General features: G+C 49.7%; 4 annotated features.

The window, feature by feature from the left end:
* Positions 59-4013: an enhancer, noted in NCBI's record as "VISTA enhancer hs1751". NCBI's record gives its function as "enhancer in: heart[8/8]" and the evidence as "EXISTENCE:transgenic organism evidence [ECO:0001131][PMID:17130149]".
* Positions 9390-10385: an enhancer, noted in NCBI's record as "H3K27ac-H3K4me1 hESC enhancer chr18:12287027-12288022 (GRCh37/hg19 assembly coordinates)". NCBI's record gives its function as "activates a minimal SCP1, AML or CMV promoter by ChIP-STARR-seq in primed H9 embryonic stem cells {active_cell/tissue: H9 hESC(primed)}" and the evidence as "EXISTENCE:reporter gene assay evidence [ECO:0000049][PMID:30033119]".
* Positions 10386-11379: an enhancer, noted in NCBI's record as "H3K27ac-H3K4me1 hESC enhancer chr18:12288023-12289016 (GRCh37/hg19 assembly coordinates)". NCBI's record gives its function as "activates a minimal SCP1, AML or CMV promoter by ChIP-STARR-seq in naive H9 embryonic stem cells {active_cell/tissue: H9 hESC(naive)}" and the evidence as "EXISTENCE:reporter gene assay evidence [ECO:0000049][PMID:30033119]".
* Positions 11630-12393: an enhancer, noted in NCBI's record as "H3K4me1 hESC enhancer chr18:12289267-12290030 (GRCh37/hg19 assembly coordinates)". NCBI's record gives its function as "activates a minimal SCP1, AML or CMV promoter by ChIP-STARR-seq in naive H9 embryonic stem cells {active_cell/tissue: H9 hESC(naive)}" and the evidence as "EXISTENCE:reporter gene assay evidence [ECO:0000049][PMID:30033119]".

The following is a 20906-nucleotide window of genomic DNA, read 5'->3' on the forward strand; positions in this document are numbered from 1 at the left end:
AAAAAGCAAACAAAACAAAACAAAACTATCAGAACAGCAAAAAAAAAAAAAAACTTTATATAGAAGCAAAACTCATCCAGGAATATTCTGCTAACAGATATAATCTCTCATAAGTCTTTATTAGTGCCACAAAAATAACAAGCTGCAAAATGTTATTGTATGTTTTTTTCAAACATGGATTTTTAACAGGCTCAAAGGGGCCCTCACACTGAAGGACTCAAATTGTGGAGGTCTTCAAGGACTTTTTTACTTTTTCACTTGTGAAAGTGAAAGGACTTTACTTTTTCAGCCTCTTTTTTCTTTTTCTTCTTTTTTTTTTTTTTTTTTTTTTGAGACAGGGTCTAGCTCTGTCACCCAAGCTGGAGTACAGCGGCCTGATCTCGGCTCACTGCTGCCTCGACCTCCCTGGGCTCAAGCCATCCTCCCACCTCAGCCTCCTGAGTAGCTGAGATTACAAGTGCACACCACCACCCCTAGTTTTTTTTATTTTTGTAGAGATGGGGTCTTGCTATGTTGCTCAGACTGGTCTCAAACTCCTAGACTCAAGCAATCCTCCTACCTGGGCCTCCCAAAGTTCTGAGATTACAGACGTGAGCCACCACACCCGGCCCAGCCTTTTTCTTAAAAACCAAAAAACAACTGCTGCACCCTCAGCTGCAGATTCTGCCTGCAGCCAGGTGGGGCACCGCGTTGCCAAGGTGGAGCTGTGCCTCATGCTGGCTCAGCTGCGAGGAACCTCCTGTCCGTGGCTGGGATCTCTAGCTGCAGGCACAGCTGGACGAAGGCAATCAGACAACATTGTAAGAATCTGTCTCCCACTCTCTTGGATCTGATTCCCTGCAGGGAGGGGGGACCCCCTCAAGTGGAAGCAAGTGCAGACCTCAGGCCCTGCAGCAGGAAGCTCTGGGCTACACCTTGTCCCCCCATTGGATGTCCTGGGTTACACCTCATGCTGCAGACACAGCAGCTGGTGGCTCTGCCAGGCTGGGCCACACACTGAGTCCTGGAGCCACCCCAAAGAGAAATAGGGTGCTGTTCCTAGAATCAGGGGGAACAGATGCTAGAAGAAAAATATTTCCTGATTAAGAAATGATGCCTTGGAGGCCTTTTCCTTCCCTAGCCACCAACTCTGGCCACAGAAAGACACCACAGTGTGTCCCGGAACCCTAGAGGAAGAAAAACTCTCCCCTCCCCTACCCCCTTCCCGGGGCTCCCAGCTGCTGCTCAGCCGTTCCCGGCAGGGATGGTCCTCCCTTCACAGACAGTTTGCAGTCCCCTTTGAGAGGCCCCGTGACCGGCGCTGAGTCCTGGGCTCTCACTGTGTCTGAGCCAGTTCTTGGAGAAGCTGGGCCAGGCCCCACAGCAGGACAGACAAAAGGAAAGGAGGTGGCGTTCCTCAAAGCACAGGCTCTTCTTTCACACTGCGAAAAAAACAGGCACTTTCAGTATTATCCCTTCTTGCCTTCCAGAATGAGCTGCGCTGCTGGTAGAGCGAGGGTTACAAAGAGTGTTCAGGCACAGGCCGTCTGCTGTGACTTCAAAACATTTCCTATATAAGGAGCTCCTGACCGCCCTGCCCACCTCGGGCCAGCAGGAGAGGAGGTGAGGAGGAGGGCTGTAGCCAGGCGTGTGGCCGGCCTGGCCGAGGGGCGCTCACTCCTGCCTCTCACTGACTCTGGGCTTGCGTCACTTCCCAAGGATTCCACCGGCCTGGGCAGTGACTGCCTGGCTTCCAAAAAAGGAATTTTCACTCCAGTGCCTGATCCTGTTGACTCAGCCCCTGCCCTCACTCGCTGAGAGGCCCTAGGCCTACGTCCAGATGGTGGGGAAACTGTGGGGGCCCAACCTGTTCGAAGGGAGGAATTGGGGAAGGGACGGGCTGGCCTTCTCCCCATGGGAAAGGGGAGGACATTCAGAAGGACCTCTTGGCATTTGGGAGCTTCTGAAGGAGCTGCGGCCACCGCCGCCCTGTCTCCTGTGCCCATGATTCACGGAGTGGCCCGGGACAGAGCAGCCTCTTCGCAGAACCCTCAGGGAGGCTCCAGGCCTCAGGGAGGAGGCAGCAAAGGTTGGTTTTGCTATTGTCAAAGTCTTCAGTGGGCCCTTGGCCAGGAGACTGGTGGAATTGAAACCCACTCCCTTAGGGGAAGGGTCCCAGCAGGCGTGGCTGTCTTGTCTCTGGTTCGGATTAGGTGACAGGCACTCCAAATGTGACACTTTCTCGTTCTCATCTTAGTTTCTCTATCATCTGCATTTAGCCCGCTAGCTCAGACCAGGATGTGCCCCATGCAGGTGAGGGTGGGTGGGGAGAGCCAAGGCACTCCAGCGGGCTCAGGGCCTGGACCCTGTGAGGCCTGGATGCCGCCTCCACCTAAGCCTTCAGCTGAACCCCCAGGGTGGCGTGTGTGTCCCTTCAGGGGCTGAGTGTTCGTCTGTGTGTCTTTGATGGGGCCAAGCAGAAGAGCTCGAATTGGAAATTATTCACTTCTAGAATCACAATTCAGAAAAAAAGAAATGGTTCCCATGAGCCCAGGTTTCATGCTCCTGCAGTCACTACATGGACCTGGACGTCACTCCTATGACCTCTTTTTCAGGCGCACAAACACAGGTAGCTGCCATGAGCATCCCACGCGCATGCGTCCTGGTGTGTTTCTGCCACATGATCCGTAGGCTAGATTCAAGGAGCACTTTCTGCCAGCAGCAGGGAACAGAGTGCAGGCCTGGGATGAACTGAGGACATCAGAATGAAATGCTCTAAGAGCCATGATCTCATGGCCAGAGACAGACTCTGGCTAAAATCACCTGTAGTGACCAGACTTCACAGCCCAAACCACTGTCTTCATCCATAAAATCAGGATCCAATCGACTTGGTCCAGGAACTCCATTCCCAGACAGATTTTCTTGGCCCAGATTTTAAAAATGTAAACACGGTCCCTCTTCCAGCCAGCACTTTTCAGCTGGCCAGCCACAGCTTGCCCTTCTCCTGCACCCCAAGGAAACTGTCACCACCCGCCAGGTCAGGAGCCCAGCTCAAAGCCATGGCGTAGGCCTCTTCAGGACTAGGATTCTAAAACGGGGGTCCATTTCCCCAAAGGGAAGTTCTCCTTTCTCCTCATGTGATGAGGTGGGGGCGGCTCATCAAGCCACATGTGGGGGTGGGCCTCCACCCAGGATGGCACTGTCCCCACACAGGGTCTCCTGGCTCCCACTCCCTCCTGTGTTATAAATTGTAGGGAAAGAAAACTGTGGCCAGCACCTTTCTCTACCATCACCTCCACGGGGACAGCTATTCCTTGCTAGAATTACCAGGCCCCCTCCAGCAGCAGAGGCCATGGGGCTACCTGCCTGCCCTCCAGCTCTGACAGCCAGCTCTCAAGTCCCAGTGGGCCAGGAGGAGAGCTCTGTCTTCCCCAAGATTTTATTGTATTGTGGCAAAATCAACATAACTTTTTTTTTTTCTTTTGAGATGGAGTTTCGCTCTTATTGCCTAGGCTGGAGTACAATGGTGTGGTCTCGACTCACTGCAAACTCCGCCTCCTGGGTTCAAGCGATTCTCCTGCCTCAGCCTCCTGAATAGCTGGGATTACAGGTGCGTGCCACCACACCCAGGTAATTTTTGTATTTTTGGGGTTTCACCACATTGGCCAGGCTAGTCTTGAACTCCTGACCTCAGGTGATGCACCCACCTTGGCCTCCCAAAGTGCTGGGATTACAGGTGTGAGCCACCATGCCTGGCCAACATAACATTTTTTTAAATGTATCTTCCACCTCAGCCTCCCAAGTAGTTGACACTATAGGTGCACACCACCACACCCAGCTCATCATCTTTTTTTTTTTTTTTTAGATTTTTTTTTTGTTGTTAGCAACAGGATCTTACTATGTTGCCCAGGCTGCTCTCCAACTCCTGGGTGCAAGTGATCCTCTCACCTCAGCCTCCCAGAGGACTGGGATTATGGGCATGAGCTATTGCTTTTAAAATCTGATGATCAGTGCAGTGCCTTTTATTCTGAGCCTCCACTCCACTGAGTGGTCTCCCCCACTTCATGCCCCAGGGGCTCATGTGCCAAGGCAGTGGGGGACACACTCCGACTATGGGGAGTTGTGTCCCACCCAGGCCTCCCCTGAGATGCCCACTGGCTATGACTGTCGGAGGCCAGTCTGTGAAGGTCACTGCGGCAACTCCCCCAGCCCACCTGCAAGAAGGCTTCAGGCCACCACTGCTGGGAGCCAGGTTCTCCCTGCCACTCCAAGGCCAGGCCAGGGTACCAGGACCCCTGTGATATTGTGATATAATAAAAAATACGTTTTTGGCCTCTGCCCCCATTCCTGACATAGATCTCCTAAAATCTGTAATCTCCTGAGTGATTGGAATGGCTGACAGAATTCCTAAATCCTTTGGAATTTCCTGGGTTATGGGGGCATCTTTTCTTTTTTTTTTCAAGACAGCATCTTGCTCTGTCACCCAGGCTGGAGTGTAGTGGTGTGATCACAGCTCACTGCAGCTTCCTGGGCTCAAGTGATCCTCCCACCTCAGTCTCCTAGGTAGCTGGGACTACAGCTGCACACCACCATGCCTGGCTAATCATTTTTATTTTTTGTAGAGATGAGGTCTCCTTATGTTGTCCAGGCTGATCTCAAATTCTTGGGCTCAAGCGATCCACTTGCTTTGGCCTCCAGAAGGGCTGGGATGACAGGCATGAGCCCCCGCGCCTGGCCAGGAGCATCATTTTAGGAGACTCTTGGTGGGCTCCTGCATGGCCTCAGGATAGGGGCTGGTTGCCAGGGAACCAGCCCTGTGATTAAAGGGTCAGGACTTTCAGCCACATCCCCCAACCTCTGGGGAAGGGAGAGGAGCTGAAGTTTGAATCAATCACCAGTGGCCAATGAGGTAATCAATTGTGCCTATGTAATGAAGGCTCCAGAAAAATCCCCAAGCTACAGGGCTCAAAGAGCTTCCAGAGAGTGAACACGTACAGGCTCTGAGATCGTGGTGTCCAGGGAGACCACGGAAGCTCCATGCCCTGCCCCACATGCCTTCCCCATGAGTGTCTTCATCTGTGTCCTTTGTAATATCCTTCATAATAAAAGGCTAAACATACAGAAAGGATTTCCCTGAGTTCTGTGAGCTACCCTAGCAAATTAACCACCCCCAAGCCGGGGATCAGGGGAACTGAGATTTGTCACAGCTTGGGGCTTGCAATGGGCGTGAAAAGTGAGGGCAGCCTTGAGGACTGAGCTCTCAGCCCGTGGTGTTTGATGCTGTCTCCAAGAGGACTGTGTCAGAGTTGAATTGAATGAGAGGACACTCAGCTGGTGTCTGCTGGAGAACGGGTTGTCTGTGGAGAGAAATCCCCACGCATTTCGGTGCCCTAAGGTGAAATACTCTGTATTGAGAGTGAAAGCAGAGAGAAAAAGCAGTGTTTTTTCCACAGCCCCCCACGCACCCAGCCATTGTGATGTTACTGCTCGTGATGGTGACTTTACGTGTCCACTTGGCCAGGCCACGGCACCCAGTTTCTGGTGAAACACCAATCCCGATGTTGCTGTGAAAGATATTTTTGAAGATGAGACTAACATTTAAAGCTGTGGACTTTACGTAAAGCACATGCCCTCCAGGTTGCCCATTAGGGAGTGGCCTCATCCAGTCCATTGAAGGCCTTCAGAGAAAAAACTGACATCCCCTTAGAGAAAGAATTCTGCCCGCAGACAGCCCTGCGGGTGGCGCTGCGACATCAGCTCTTCCGGGGCTCCAGCCTGCAGCCTCCCTGCAGATTTCAGACTTCCCAGCCCGCACAGTCACACAACTGTACACACAGCTCATGGGAATGACATGTGGGAAGACAACTAAGGCAGGATCACTTTCAAGCCATATACCAACACCTGCCTCATTGGTATGTGGTTAGACCTCAAACTTACAAAGGCTGGGCACAGTGACTCACACCTGTAATCCCAGTACTTTGGGAGGCTGAGGCAGGAGGATCACTTGAGCCCAGGAGGTTGAGGCTGCAGTAAGTTATGACTGCACCACTGTACTCCAGCCTGGGTGACAGAGTAAGACTCTATCTCTTTTTTTTTTTTAAAAAAAAAAAAAAGAAAGAAAACCATGCAATCTGCAGAGTCCTAATGAGGAAAAAGGAGTCAGGTTGGTGGCACCAGGTGAAAACAAAGAGATAAAGCAGATGAGCAATGGGTCTGGCTTCCTCCATGGTCCAGGACAGATAAACAAAGAGAGGAAACAGACATGCTGTGGGTCTGTTTTTCTTTATGGTCCAGGACATGTGGCCCTCCTGAGCAGATAACGTACAGAGCTCACAAGCTTCCTGCTTATCAACAAACACCTTAATTTATCAAACACCTAGGCTGATAGAAAAATGGAAGTTAGTTATCAGTCAGCTCAAGTTCCATTCTATAAACTCCCCAGCCAGCCTTGGTCTCCTGGCAGGCAGCTCCTCTTCTGCTGATTCTGCCCACTGCAACCTTGCAACACATTTTCCTACTTTCTCTAATAAATCTGCCTTTCTTTACCTACAACTGTCTTGGTAAATTCTTTTACCCCTGCGCCACCGGCCCAGTGAGTCTCCGCTACCTGCCACACAAACACAATAAAAACCTGAAAGGTTTGACTCACTCCTATACCTAACAGAAGAATTAACAGTAATGCTTTGACTTATTCCTTTACCTAATTCACCAGGATTTACTCCAAATGATATTTTACTTTAGGAAAAAAATCATCTCTCTCCTCAAAGGATAAAATGTGCCAGGGTTGGGAGCTGAGTCTCAGATGTTATGAAGGTGCACAGAAACCCTTCTCCCCAAGATCCCCGTGCTGTTCACCATCCTTGGCTTGAACACTGAGATATGGCAGCCCTTGCAACAGGAGCTCGTTCAACTTGTGCAGTTTTGTCTGTCTTAGGGTGTGTTTTATTTTTTTAAGGTAAAGTCTTGCTTTGTTGCCCAGGTTGGAGTGCAGTGGCATGATCAGAGCTCACTGCAGTCTTGACCTCCCAGGCTCAACAGATTCTCCCACCTCAGCCTCCCAAGTAGCTGGGACTACAGGTCCACCATGGCCAGCTAACTCTGGGGAGGTTTCAGACAAATATCTGGGTCCCTAAAACTTCTACCCACAGGTTATAGTTCTGTCCTCTTGAGTTATTTTTTTTTAATCCCTCCTGTCCAGCTTCCCTACCGCAGGGCAGTGCCTTTGTGCTTGATCCAGCATTTCCCCAAAAGGACCCCACCCCACTTCCTCCACAAGCCAACATGTAGAGTCCTCTCAAGTCCACAAACTGGGCTCTCCAATGCTCTGCCCTGAACCTGCCCCAATCCTGCAGGGTGTATTTCTTTCATTAGCTTCTTTTATTTCCCTGCAGTCTCTGTCAGTGTGAAGCAGAAATGTTAAATGACAATACAATCTTTCAACAAGACCACGACAAATGGAAGGAGCCCCCTTCAGAGTGACCACTCCAGGGGGCTCAGGGAGGCAGCCCGGGTGCAGCTGTTGAACAGGGGATGTTAGAATGGGTTCCACCTGGGGGGTCCCCCAGGGAGGCAGGGCTGGCCTTGGGGCAAGCCTGATGGTCCCTTTGTGACCAGCCTTGGGATCTCTCTGAAAGCCACCTCTAAGATCCTGGGGATGTAGAGAAGAAGACAAACCCACCTGGTCCTCCTCCCCTCCGGGACTGGGAGAGACCATATCCACAGGTGCCTCCTCGGGCGTGCTGGGTCAGCCAGGCCTCTGGAGTGCCTGGGTTATGGGGGTTATCATCTTATTCAATTACCACTGGAGAGCCTGAAGTCTACGCAGGAAGCTGAGATGGGAGGATCACTTGAGGCCAGGAGTTCAAGACCAGCCTGGGCAACATAGAGAGACCCTTGACTCTCAAAAAATATATATATAAAGTGTTGTATAATGCAACAAAATATGTAAACCTGGAATCGCATCAGATTTTTTACTCCATAAACTTTTTATTTGCTCCCAGATATCTCTTAAGTGGCATGAAGAATCTACTGATGTGTCTGGCAAGCTGGGAGCTAGAGTAAGACTAGCTGGGCCTCAACAGGCAGGCTGCAGAGCCAAAGCTGAAAAGGCAAATTGGTTATTTTCTTTTATTTTCTTTTTCTTTTTCTTTTTTTTTTTTTTTTTGACAGAGTCTCACTCTGTCACCCAGGCTGGAGTGCAGAGGCACAATCTTGGCTCACTGCAACCTCCACCTCCCAGGTTCAAGCAATTCTCCTGCCTCAGCCTCCCAAGTAGCTGGGACTATAGGCATGCGCCACCACACCTGGCTAATTTTTTTGTATTTTTAGTAGAGATGGGGTTTCACTGTGTTGGCCAGGCTGGTCTCAAACTTCTGACCTCAGGTGATCCATCTGCCTCAGCCTCCCAGAGTGCTGGGATTACAGGTGTGAATCACTGCACCTGCCAAATTGTCTATTTCAAGCTTTGCATATTCACTCTAATTTTTAAATGGGGCCGGACGTGGTGGCAAGCACTTGTAGTCTCAGCTACTAGGGAAGCTGAAGTGGGAGGATCACTTGAGCCCAGGAGATGGAGGCCAGCCTAGGCAACATAGCAAAACCCCCATCTCTAAATAAAAATAAAAATAAAGAGCTTGGAGCCTGGATGGGGCTGGGCATATAGCAAGCACAGATGCTTGGGAAGTACACCCTTTAATTTTCACACTAAGGAGAAAGAAAGGGCTAAGAGTAGTTCAATACAGTATCTTCAAAAGGTTTGACCATTTATTTGCCCATTTTTTCCTGAAAAGAGTGAATGAAAACATTTACTATAACTCAGATACTAATACACCTTTTTGTTTCTTTTCTTTAAGAAACAGGCACAGTTGTTAAGATCTGTTTCAGATGAAGTTGGGTGATGGATACATGGGCTTTCATTAGTCTCTGATTTGGGTATGTTTTTAATGTTCTATAATGAAAAGGGTTTTATTGATTGATTTCTTTTCTTTTCTTTTTTTTTTTTTTTTGAGACAGAGTCTCGCTCTATCCCCCAGGCTGGAGTGCAGTGGTATGGAGTACAGGGGCGTGATCTCGGCTCACTGCAACCTCCGCCTCCCGGGTTCAAGCGATTCTCATGCCTCAGCCTCCCAAGTAGCTGGGATTACAGGCACCTGCCACCAGGCCTGGTTAATTTTTGTATTTTTAGTAGAGATGGGGTTTCACCATGTTGGCCAGGCTGATCTCAAACTCCTGACTTCAGGTGATTCACCCACCTCGGCCTCCTGAAGTGCTGGGATTACAGGCAGGAGCAACCGCGCCCGGCCAATTGATTGATTTTTTTTAAATGCTTCCTCCCTCCCAGGGAACTGTGAATGAAGCTCTTCTTTTAAATGTATATATTTCAGAGATGGGGATCTCACTGTGATGCCCAGGCTGGTCTTGAACTCCTGGCCTCAGCTGGTCTTGAACTCCTGGCCTCAAGTAATCCTCCTACCTCGGCCTCCCAAAGTGCTAGATGACAGGCATGATCCCGGCCAAGCCCTTCCTTTAACCACAGCTCTGGAGACTGTCACTTGGACGACCAGGGCTGCCAGGGTTTCCGGAGGGCACGGCCTCCTGACTGCTCAGGGCTTCCTCAAGGTGAGCTCAAGACCCGCAGGGCTTCCCTATGGCAAGCCGTCGAGGCTTTCTTTGGATGCAGGTGGCCGCAGAGCGCTCATGCGGCGTCGGTGCTGGCAGCCAGGTGAGCTGCGCCAGCTCAGCCCGAATGAGCGGTGTCAGGCTATGCACCGTGCTCCCGCCCGCCCTGCGCCCAGACCTCCGCCTGCCCTGGAGGTGAAGGACGCGGGCTCCCCACGCTCCCCCGAGTGATGGTGCAGAGGCGTACTCCCTCTCGGGGTCCCCACTCCACATTCCGGCGTCCTCGGAACAGCCGGCACAGGCAGGGCGGGCGTCAGCTGTCCGGTCGCACCTCCCTGCAGGGGCATTCCTTGGCCTGCTGCTGCCTGCCAGGCTGACCCAGGCGCAGGCGCTCAGGTAAAGGCAGTGGCCAGCCCAAGCTGCCGACCCAGCCGCTCCTCCCAGCAGAGGCCAGGTGAGGAGGCGAGGATGGTGGGGGTCGCCCAGGGAGAAAAATCTCATCCGACAAGGAAAGCCTGGTGACCCCCTGTCTGCCTGGGCAGAACTCCCCTCCCAGGAATGAGCTTTGGACAACGTGGTTCCTCCCGTTGAATCAGGTTCTGACCGAGTCCGCTGCAGCTGCAGGCGGGGGCGCCCTGCCGAGCAGATACCCAGCGGAGCTCCGGGGCCCCGTTTCTACTGTAAGCAGCTGGGGGCCAAATGTGCGCCCGGGCACGTCTCTTGGCCTCTCCCAGACTCGGCACCCTCATCTGTAAGAACGTGAACGATGTCCGCCCTGGACAGGACTGCGGTCGCGAGAGGTGCCCGGGCCAGGCAAGGGACACAGCGCGGATCTGCTGGTTTCCCCCTTGATTCCATGCGTGGGCGTGAAGCGTATTCTTGGGAGTCAGGCACAAATGTGACTTAGTAAGGAAGGGTGAGCGTTGCTGGGATGGGTGGGGAAAAATGTTTTCTGCATCACGGGGCCAGCTGGAGCGGGGAGTGGCCACCGCAGGATTCCTGGGTGCAGCTGAGACAGCTGGGGCGGGGCGTGCTGGGCTCACACTGAGTTCAACTCTCCAAATAGCCCTCGCGCCACTGTCCAGAACAGACGATAAGAATTTCACAGGACTTTCGTCTGGAAGTTTGCGGTTGACAATGCGTTTTTACCTACATGATCACAGTAACTTTCCCAGCAAGGCTGTTAGCTAAAGAAGGTGCCCTCCCCGCCCTGGAGCCTGAGAGAGGACGAGCTGCAGCCTTGTCCAAGAGAAAGGCCCGGGGGACCCAGCCATCCACCTCCCTGCCCACCACCACCCTTCCTTCCAAGGAGCACGCAAGACCAAGCCTAGGACTCGCTACAAAGCTCGGTTCCTAACTAGACCGGCGGGGACTGACTAGGAATGGAATCCAGGCAAACACCTGGCCGATCATAATCAGGTGCAAACCATTCTGATTCTATTTTTTAATGCCATTCTAATTTATAATATGTTAAACTCTGAGAAAAGCCTAGAGAGAGCCACTTTGCTAAGGCGTGCATTATTCAATTTTTCCTTATTCCAGTCATAATATTCTGGGTCCTCCTCTCATAATATTCTGGGTGCCTCCTGCAAGGCAAGCTTTCTGCCGTCCTAGTCTCTCCATTCACAATCACTCGCTTAGGGCATTGGCATAGAAAGTAACACACTGAGTCTTATGCACAACACGCAGGAGGTGTCCTCTTTAACCTTCAGGAATGTGTATTCTAGTGCCGGAGGTGGGACTTCTGAATGTGAAAGGCGGGATCCTCTGCTGGGACAGGGCTTGGTGAGTGCAGAGGCTGCGGTGGGTACAGACAGGAGGCGGTCGCTCAGCTCTCACAGAGCTGGCCTGGTGATATCCTGCCCACCTGGAATCTGGGACCTGAAAAAGAGCACATTGGCTCATCCTAGCCTGGAGGTGCAGACAGTGCAGATTAAGTTGATTCAAACCAATCCACAGGGGTAAAAATACCTCAAAAAAAGAATGAACCTTCCACTTGTGCTTTTAACTGAGAAAGTGCAGCACAGCTTTAGATATCTTTGCTGGCAGCTGTTCATTATGCAACAGTTCAGCTGGTGGCAGGAAAGGCAGGAAGAAAGATGAGCATATCCAAAAGATCCAGAGATGGGGAAGGGGCTGGAAGGAGGGGAGGGAAGTGGGCGAGGGTTTTGTTTTTGGTTTTTTTTTGTTGTTTTTTTTTGTTTTTGTTTTTGTGTTTTTTGAGACAAGAGTTTTGCTCTGTCGCCCAGGCTGGAGTGCAGTGGTGTGATCTTGGCTCACTGCAAGCTCCGCCTCCTGGGTTCACACCATTCTCCTGTCTCAGCCTCCCAAGTAGCTGGGACTACAGGCACCTGCCACCATGCCTGGCTAATTTTTTGCATTTTTAGTAGAGACGGGGTTTCACCATGTTAGCCAGGATGGTCTCGATCTCCTGACTTCGTGATCCATCCGTCTTGGCCTCCCAAAGTGCTGGAATTACAGGCGTGAGCCACTGCACCCAGCCAGGCGAGGGTTTTTTCAGAGGTGAAGGGCAGAAGTCCCAGAGGTGGATGGGCACGAGAGCAGGGTCCAAGCAGAGGACAGAGGTGGAAGTCTGGGACCAAGGATGGAGGTAGCAGCTGTGGGGAGAGCAGGAAACAAGAAGTGCGGGCTGCAGGGAGAGACTCCAGGTCCTGGGAGGGCTCGTCTGGAGTACCTAGGCAGGGTCTGAAGCCTAGGGGAACAAAGTTCTGTGACTAGAGCCAAAGGTCAAGGTTCTGAGTGGGGTCCACTGAAATTATGGCTTTTCCATGAATGCCATCACAAAGCAAAGAGGAAGATAACTAATCAACAGATGCAAGTTCTGACTTATAAAATCTGTGTCACACAAAGCTGTATCCTGGCCTGCATGCACACACTTTCTGGACTCACCACAGGCATGGTCCTGGAAACCACTGGCCTGCAAGGCAAGAGAAGGCAGAAGTCACCAGGGTGCCCCTGGGAAATCCTGTTTCCCAGAACCTGTGCCAGTTCAGCTGTGTTGCACAAAGTCTGCCCCTGCCCCCTGCAGGGTTGCATCAGGGCCCCTCTGCCCTGCAGACTGGAGCACGGGTGCCCTCACTGTTGGCTGTTGAGCCTCCCAGCCCTGGTGGAAGGCAGGCTGCCATTCCTTGCTAGGCACCTTCCACACCCTGCCCTCTTGCCCTCACCAGCAGCTTCCCGCATTCATTCTCAGCACTTCCATCCTCAGTATGGACAGGAAGAAAATGTGCCAATCCATGTAATAGTAAGAATGATGGCAGTCACTATTTGTTCCTGGAACAATTTTATAAATTATTATAATAATATTGGCTGGATGCCGTGACTCCCGGCTGTAATCCCAGCACTCTGGCCAAGGTGAAAGGATCACTTGATCCCAGGAGTTTGAGACCAGCCTGGGCAACATAGTGAGACCCTGCCTTTTATTATATTTAAAAATTAAATATACAAAAGAAAAATAGGCCAGGCGCTGTGGCTCACACCTCTAATCCCAGCACTTTGGGAGGCCGAGGCAGGTGGATCATCTGAGGTCAGGAGTTCAAGACCAGCCTGACCAACATGACAAAACCCTGTCTCTACTAAAAATATAAAAATTAGCCGGGTGTGGTGGCTGGTGCCTGTAATCCCAGCTACTCGGGAGGCTGAGGCAGGAGAATCACCTGAACCTGGGAGGTAGAGGTTGCAGTGAACCAAGATTGTACCACTGCACTCCAGCCTGGGTGACAAGAGTGAGACTCTGTCTCAAAAAAAAAAAAAGAAAAAGAAAAAAATATAGATAGATAGATAGATATAGTATCATATGATTATATAAGTTACAATAATTATTATGATTATTTTTGTCTGTTTCAGATGTTACTAAATATTCATAAGGATTACAATCAGCACCTAGCACAGTGTCTGGGACATGGCAAGTGCTCAATATTTATGGAAGAAAAGAGTGAATAAATCAAGAAATCGTCATTAAACACCAAAATTGTGTTTAACAGAACCAAACAGCGCCACGCACTTGTGACCCTGACCTGAAGCTTCTGGTCGAGAAGGCCCTTGAACTCCCAGGCCCTCCCTGTAAGCAGGTTGGGCAGTGCAGAGGGCACAGGGCACAGGGCGGAGCCACAGGGAAAGATGAGCAGGGTGCTACCCACAGGAAGGTGCCCTCCCGATCCCCCCACAGCCTCTGCCCCCTGTAAACACAGTGGCCTGTCTTCTCTGGGCCTCTTCCCTTTTCTCTGCATCCTGCCCTCTATTTTCTTCTCACTAACACAGAATGGAACATTTATTTTGTTTGTTACATGATCTTGGTAAATACTTGTTTGATTGTAAATAAAAGGTGAATGAGTATATCCTTCTCTATCCCAAAAATCCCACACAAAACAACAACCTTCCAAATCAAATAATCACTTAGATCAATATTTTACTTAATGTGACCTTTACTTTTAATAGCCCAGTGGCCCTCAACAAAACAGTTTCAGAACTGTCTCCTACAGCTTCAGGACTATTGGTGCAGGTATGTGGTGTGCATGCCGCCAAACATGTGACATGCCTGCCGCGTGCAGGACAGCAACAGGACGAGACTTACACACAGCACACAGCTACCCGACAGCCCCATACGGTTACAGTTACATCCCCCAGGTTCCCGTGTGGCAGAGCCCAAGTTAAGCCACAGAGCTGTGAGACGCGCTCATCCCAGCCACCCCTCTATTAGCAGGAGGGTTCTGTGCTCTGACAACCGCAAGGGCTAGACACTACGGAGTCACATTGAAGGGGACGGAGAATACTGCAAATGAAACCGTCAAGACAGTCCCTGGAAGAAGGGTGTGAGCAATACGGCCTGCAGAGCATAGAGCTGTATCTGTGTTATCTTTGGTTACTCTTCAGTGTTCTCCAATGTTTGTGAAGCTTGTCTATTACTCCCCTTCCCCCTTTACAAAATCGCACCACTGTACTCCATCCTGGGCGACAGAGCGAGACTCTGCCTCTAAAAAAAAAAAAAAAAAATTGTGGTTAAGGACCGGGCATGGTGGCTCACGTCTGTAATCCCAGCACTTTGGGACACCGAGGCGGGCGGATCACGAGGTCAGGAGTTTGACACCATGCATGGTGGCATGCACCTATAATCCCAGCTACTCAGGAGGCTGAGGCAAGAGAATGGCTTGAACCCAGGAGATGGAGGTTGTAGTGAGCTGAGATCGCGCTGCTGCACTCCAGCCTGGGCAACAGAGTGAGACTCTGACTCAAAAAAAAAAAAAAAAAAAATTCTGGTTAAAAAAACATATCAGGCCGGGCGCGGTGGCTCACACCTGTAATCCCAGCACTTTGGGAGGCCGAGGCGGGTGGATCACAAGGTCAGGAGTTTGAGACCAGCCTGACCAACATGGTGAAACCCTGTCTCTACTAAAAATACAAAAATTAGTTGGGTATGGTGGTGCGTGCCTGTAATCCCAGCTACTCAGGAGGCTGAGGCAGGAGAATTACTTAAACTCAGGTGGTGGAGGTTGCAGTGAGCTGAGATGGTGCCATTGCACTCCAGCCCGGGCGACAGAGCGAGACTCCACCTCAAAAAAAAAAAAAAATCTCATGCCGGGCGCAGTGGCTCACACCTGTAATCCCAGCACTTTGGGAGGCCGAAGCAGGCAGATCACCTGAGGTCGGGAGTTTGAGACCAGCCTGACCAACATGGAGAAACCCTGTCTCTACTAAATATACAAAAAAAAAATTAGCCTGGCATGGTGGTGCATGCCTGTAATCCCAGCTACTTGGGAGGCTGAGGCAGGAGAATCGCTTGAACCCAGGAGGCAGAGGTTGTGGTGAGCCAAGATCACACCATTGCACTCCAGCCTGGGCAACAAGAGCAAAACTCCATCTCAAAAATAATAATTATATATAAAATTATATATAAAATATAATATATATTATTATATCATATATATCTCATATATCTCTATATCTCTCTCTCATAAAATTAACCATCTTACCCATTTTTACATGTATAGGTTAATAGCATTAAACATATTCACATAGTTGTGCAACCGATCTCCAAAATTTTTTCATCTTACAAGACTCATCTATTATCATCTATTACTTTTTTCCTTCTTTTTTTTTTTTCCTGAGACAGAGTCTCACTCTGACGCCCAGGCTGGAGTGCAGTGGTGCAATCTCAGCTCACTGAAACCTCCTCCTCCCAGGTTCAAACAATTCTCATGCCCCAGCTGCCCAAGAAGATGGGATGACCGGCACCCACCACCACGCCTGGCTAATCTTTGTATTTTTAGTAGAGACAGAGTTTCACCATGTTGACCAGGCTGGTCTCAAACTCCTGACCTCAGGTGATCTGCCTACCTCAGCCTCCCAAAGTGCTGGAACTACAAGCGTGAGCCACCATGCCCAACCTCATGAATTACTTTTTAATGGAAAGGTAATAAAAGAGTATTTTCAAACATGTAAGCCCCAAGAGCATTTTCAAACATGTGAGCCCCAAAGGTAATAAAAGAATATTTTCAAATATGTGAGCCCCAAGTAAGAGAGTTGTCCTGCTTCTGCTGCTTTCAAAAATCCCAGGGTGAGGGTGCCTTTCCTTACTTCCCCTGCCCCTACCCTGAGTCTCGGGTTGGGAGATTCCAGAGTTGGTTCTCACCTGGCTCCCCCTGCCCATCCTGGAGCTTCTCTCCCCTCCTCTCGGCTCCTGCTTCAGCCCCCAGCCCCTGCAAGCGTGTGTTCAAGACCAGGGGCCAGGCTGGGGTGGGTGGAGGATGAAGGTCCACGATCATGTTGGGGCATGTGACAAGAAGGCTCTGGGGCAGCCCAGGAGTTTGGGATCCTCACATGTGGCTTGATTCAACCCCCCGGTGTTGCAGAGGAAGACGCTGAGGCTCAGAGATCACACAGCTAGTTAGAGGTTCATCAGGGACTAACCCAAGGGTTCCATCACCTCACTCAGAGCCCGTCCTACTAAAACGCGCTGAAGGCAGAAGGGTCGCGCTCTGCAGGGAAAAGCACTCCATCACAGCTGTGAGTGGGATATGCCCCCCGTATGCTGAACTGCTGTACAACAAGACAACCAGCCTGTTAGCATGAGACAGGTGTCAGGTCACATGTGTTACAAACCGGACTTGCTGCGCTCAACTGTCTACACAAATATTTATTCTTCATCGTGTACTTCATGGATAGATGCTCACTACCATCTTAGAAGAGGTGAAATGGGGTGGTGAGATGTTGGTCAAAGGAAACATAATTTCAGTAATAGGAGGAATAAGTCGGTGAGAGCTATTACAACATGGTGACTGTGCTTAGTAACAGTGTATCGTGTTCCTGAAACTTGCTAAGAGAATAGAGTTTGAGTGTTCTCGTCACAAAAAAATAAGTATGTGAGGTAATGCATACATTAATAGCTCAATGCAAGGCCGGGTGCGATGGCTCACGCCTGTAATCCCAGCACTTTGGGAGGCTGAGGCAGGCGGATCACAAGGTCGGGAGATCAAGACCATCCTGGCTAACATGGTGAAACCCCGTCTCTACTAAAAATACAAAACATTAGCCAGGCGTGGTGACAGGCACCTGTAGTCCCAGCTACTCAGGAGGCTGAGGCAGGAGAATGGCATGGACCCGGGAGGCGGAGCTTGCAGTAAGCTGAGATCACACCACTACACTCCAGCCTGGGCAACAGAGTGAGACTCCGTCTCAAAAAAAAAAAAAAAAAGATAGCTCGATGGAGCCCTTCCACAATGTATACCTCTTTCCAGACATGTTGTACACAATAAACATACACAATTTTTGTCCATTAAAAATAAATAAATAAATGTTTTGTAAAAGAGGAAGTCAAATAAATTCCTTGATATCAAGATCTTTTAAAATAGAATTGGCAAATCAACTATAATTAATAGAGAAATAGATAAAATAGAAAAAATGCGGCAAGCAGGCTGTAGCCTTGTAGAGGGAGTTGTATCAACTGGTTTTTGTTTTTTGCGTTTTTTTTTGAGACGGAGTCTAGCTGTCGCCCAGGCTGGAGTGCAGTGGCACAATCTTGGCTCACTGAAACCTCTGCCTCCCGGGTTTAAGTAATTCTGCTGACCCAGCCTCCTGAGTAACTGAGATTACAGGCGCCCACCATCACATCTGGCTAATTTTTTTTTTTTTTTTTTTTTTTTTTAGTAGAGACGGCGTTTCACCATGTTGGCCAGGCTGGTCTCAAACTCCTGACTTCAAGTGATCACTCGCCTCGGCCTCCCAAAGTGCTGGGATTACAGGCAACTGGTTTTCTTTAATTTAAGAAGCACTGGTATTGATTAGTCATAGGATGTGAGAGCTGGAGGGAATTTAAAGATCGTCCGGTCTTACTCACTGGCCAAGGAGGAAACTGATTTTGTCTAAACCGAGAATTTCCAGGATGCAGGGAAAGAGGCGCTGTGAGCTTTACAATTCATCTTCTAGGTGGATCAAAACCCTTCACACAGGACTTCCTCTATCGCTCTTGGGATTTAGCAGTTCCACAAAAACAGAAATATTTTCTAATCAGACATCCCAAACCTGTCTAGACTCTTGCTCTCTTGTCTAGGAAAAGAACATAAACAGGTTTTTTATTTTGTTTCCAACCCTACATGAAACCAACCCGAGGGGGAGGTGCAGAGGTATGGCCCATCCCCAGACCAATGCCACCGTCCAAATGTACCCAAACATGGAACCCCGGGTGCATTTCAGCGCACGTCCTCCCAGAGACCTCGATGGACTCGATGTCACCCCCACAGTAGTCAGCGGTCCACTGCCTCTCTACCCAGCACGAGAGAGGCTTGGTCATGCTGGTGGGGTGGAATTAGCCCAAAGGGGTTGTGCCCCTAACTGACCAGCAGAGCCCTAGAAGTGTAGAGGCCATAGTGTTCATGCTGGGGCCAGGCCACTGATCTTGAAGCTCTGGTTGAGAGCTGCCTGCGTGTGACCCCTGATATGGCAGGATTCATGCCCCAAACCCGCTCTATGGGCCCCATCCACCTCCTGACTCATCATCACAGGAAAGAGGCCCTTGGAGACAACTCCTCTGAAGTCACCCTGCAGCTCACACTGGGCAGGGCCTCCCGCCACCTCAGGTCTTTGTGAAATTGAAGCTCCTGCTTCTTAAAGTAAAACCAGAGGTGATTGCTGTCCTTTGAAATTCTGAGCCTGGAAGGACTTAACTCATTTTTAAAATGGGAATAACTGAAAATCCAATGAGCCTGCAGGCCTCTAAGGACATCGTCCTGGGTGGTCCCTGCCACACAAGGCACTATTGCCCCAGATCATAACCCAGAAGGCAGTGGCTGGACTTCCCAGACAGATGCTTCCTGCCCTGGCTGGGAGTGCCCAGGGTAGCCAGGGAGACTGGTTCCTGGGGACCTGGAAGGCTGGGAAGTGACCAGGGCTAGCACAGGGTGGGCCCTCCAGCTGGAGCACACCCTCCATTCCTCTCTCTCAAAATCCACACTCAGAGTCCAGTCACCCTTTTCCAAATTCTTCAAACTGTTGGTCACCTGTCAGTTGGTCTTAAATCAATGTCAGAGGCAAATTGCCTTCAAAAGGCTCATGGAAAATGTATATTATGAAAAAACTATGCATGGATTTCAAAATGTTTTTGTGCCAAAATAAACTCACATGAACTTATGTCTGAATAAGATTGAGTTTGAGGCACTAAGAAAGATAAGACACCAGTTTGACAAGAGCTTCTATGAGATCAACATGAATTTTGCTAAAAGTGAAACAAGAACAAATAACAAATTTACAGCGAAGCTTGAGTGAAAGAATGGTGAAATCACTGATGCTTTATGAAAAGGTTATGGGGGCCGGGAGCGGTAGTCACACCTGTAATCCCAGCACTCTGAAAGGCCAAGGTGGGCAGATCACTCGAGGCCAGGAGTTCAAGATCAGCTGGCCAACATTGTGAAACCTGTCTCTCCTAAAAATACAAAAATTAGCCCGGTGTGGTGGCACACACCTGTAATCACAGCTACTCAGGAGGCTGAGGCATGAGAATCACTTGAACCCAGGAGGCGGAAGTTGCAGTGAGTCGAGATCGCACCACTGCACTCCAGCCTGGGTGACAGAGCAGGACTCTACTTCAATAAATAAATAAATAAATAAATAAATACATACATAAGTTATGGGGACAATGCCCCAAAGAAATCAGCAATTTATAAATGGATAACTTAGCTGGGTGCAGTGGCTCACGCCTGTAATCCCAGCATTTTGGGAGGCCAAGGTGGGCGGATCACTTGAGGACAGGAGTTTGAGACCAGCCTGGGCAACATAGTGAGACTCCATCTCTACAAAAAATTTAAAAATTATCCAGCCATGGTCACGTGCACCTATAGTCTCAGCTGCTCAGAAGATGATAGGAGGATCTCTGGGCCCAGGAGTTTGAGGTTGCAGTGAGCTGTGATCACACCACTGCATACCAGCCTGAATGACAGAGCAAGACCCTATCTAAAAAAACAAATAGAAAACCAAATGAATAACTTGTTTTAAAAAGGGACAAGATGACGCTGAAAAGGAAGCCTGTAGTGGCAGATCATCCACATTCTTTTTTTTTTTTTTGAGATGGAGTTTCACTCTGTCACCCAGACTGGAGTGCAGTGGTGCAATCTCCGCTCACTGCAACCTCCACCTCCAGGGTTCAAGCAATTCTCCTGCCTCAGCCTCCCGAGTAGCTGGAATTACACGTGCACGCCACCACATCCTGATAATTTTTGTATTTTTAGTAGAGATGGGATTTCACCATGTTGGCCAGGCTGGTCTCAAACTCCTGACCTCGTGATCTGCCCGCCTCAGCTTCCCAAAGTGCTGGGTCTACAGGTATGAGCCACTGTGCCTGGCCATCCACATCCATTTTTGAGGAAAAAATTCATCTTTCTCATGCCATAATTGAAGAGGCCCAATGACTAATAGCAGAAACAATAGCCTATGCCATAGACATCTCAATTGGTCCAGCTTACACAATTCTGACTGAAAAATTAGAATGGAGCAAACTTTCCACTCAGTGGAAACCACTGTGTCCAGATCAGCTGCAGACAAAAGCAAAGCTTCTGATGGAAATTTTAAACAAATGAAATCAAGATCCTGAAACATTTCTTTAAGGAACTGTAACAAAGGAAATGTGGCTTTACCAGTACAATCCTGATGAAAAAGCACAACCAAAGCAATGGCTACCAAAAGATGGGAATGGTCCAGCCAAACACGAGTGGACCAGTCAAGAGTAAAGGTCAGGGCAACAGGTCTTTGGGATGCTCAAGGCAACTTGTTTGTTGACTTTCTGGAGGACCAAAGGATAACAT

Source organism: Homo sapiens, chromosome 18 (assembly GCF_000001405.40).
Source record: "Homo sapiens chromosome 18, GRCh38.p14 Primary Assembly".
NCBI lineage: Eukaryota > Metazoa > Chordata > Mammalia > Primates > Hominidae > Homo > Homo sapiens.